The following is a 324-nucleotide window of genomic DNA, read 5'->3' on the forward strand; positions in this document are numbered from 1 at the left end:
ACCACCACCACCACCACCACCACCACCACCACCACCACCACCACCACCACCACCATCACCACCACCACCACCACCACCACCACCACCACCACCACCACCACCACCACCACCACCACCACCACCACCACCACCACCACCACCACAACCACCACCACCACCACCACCACCACCACCACCACCACCACCACCACCACCACCACCACCACCACCACCACCACCACCACCACCACCACCACCACCACCACCACCACCACCACCACCACCACCACCACCAACACCACCACCACCACCACCACCACCACCACCACAACAACAACACCACAC

Source organism: Homo sapiens, chromosome 21 (assembly GCF_000001405.40).
Source record: "Homo sapiens chromosome 21, GRCh38.p14 Primary Assembly".
In the NCBI taxonomy this organism is placed as follows: Eukaryota; Metazoa; Chordata; class Mammalia; order Primates; family Hominidae; genus Homo; species Homo sapiens.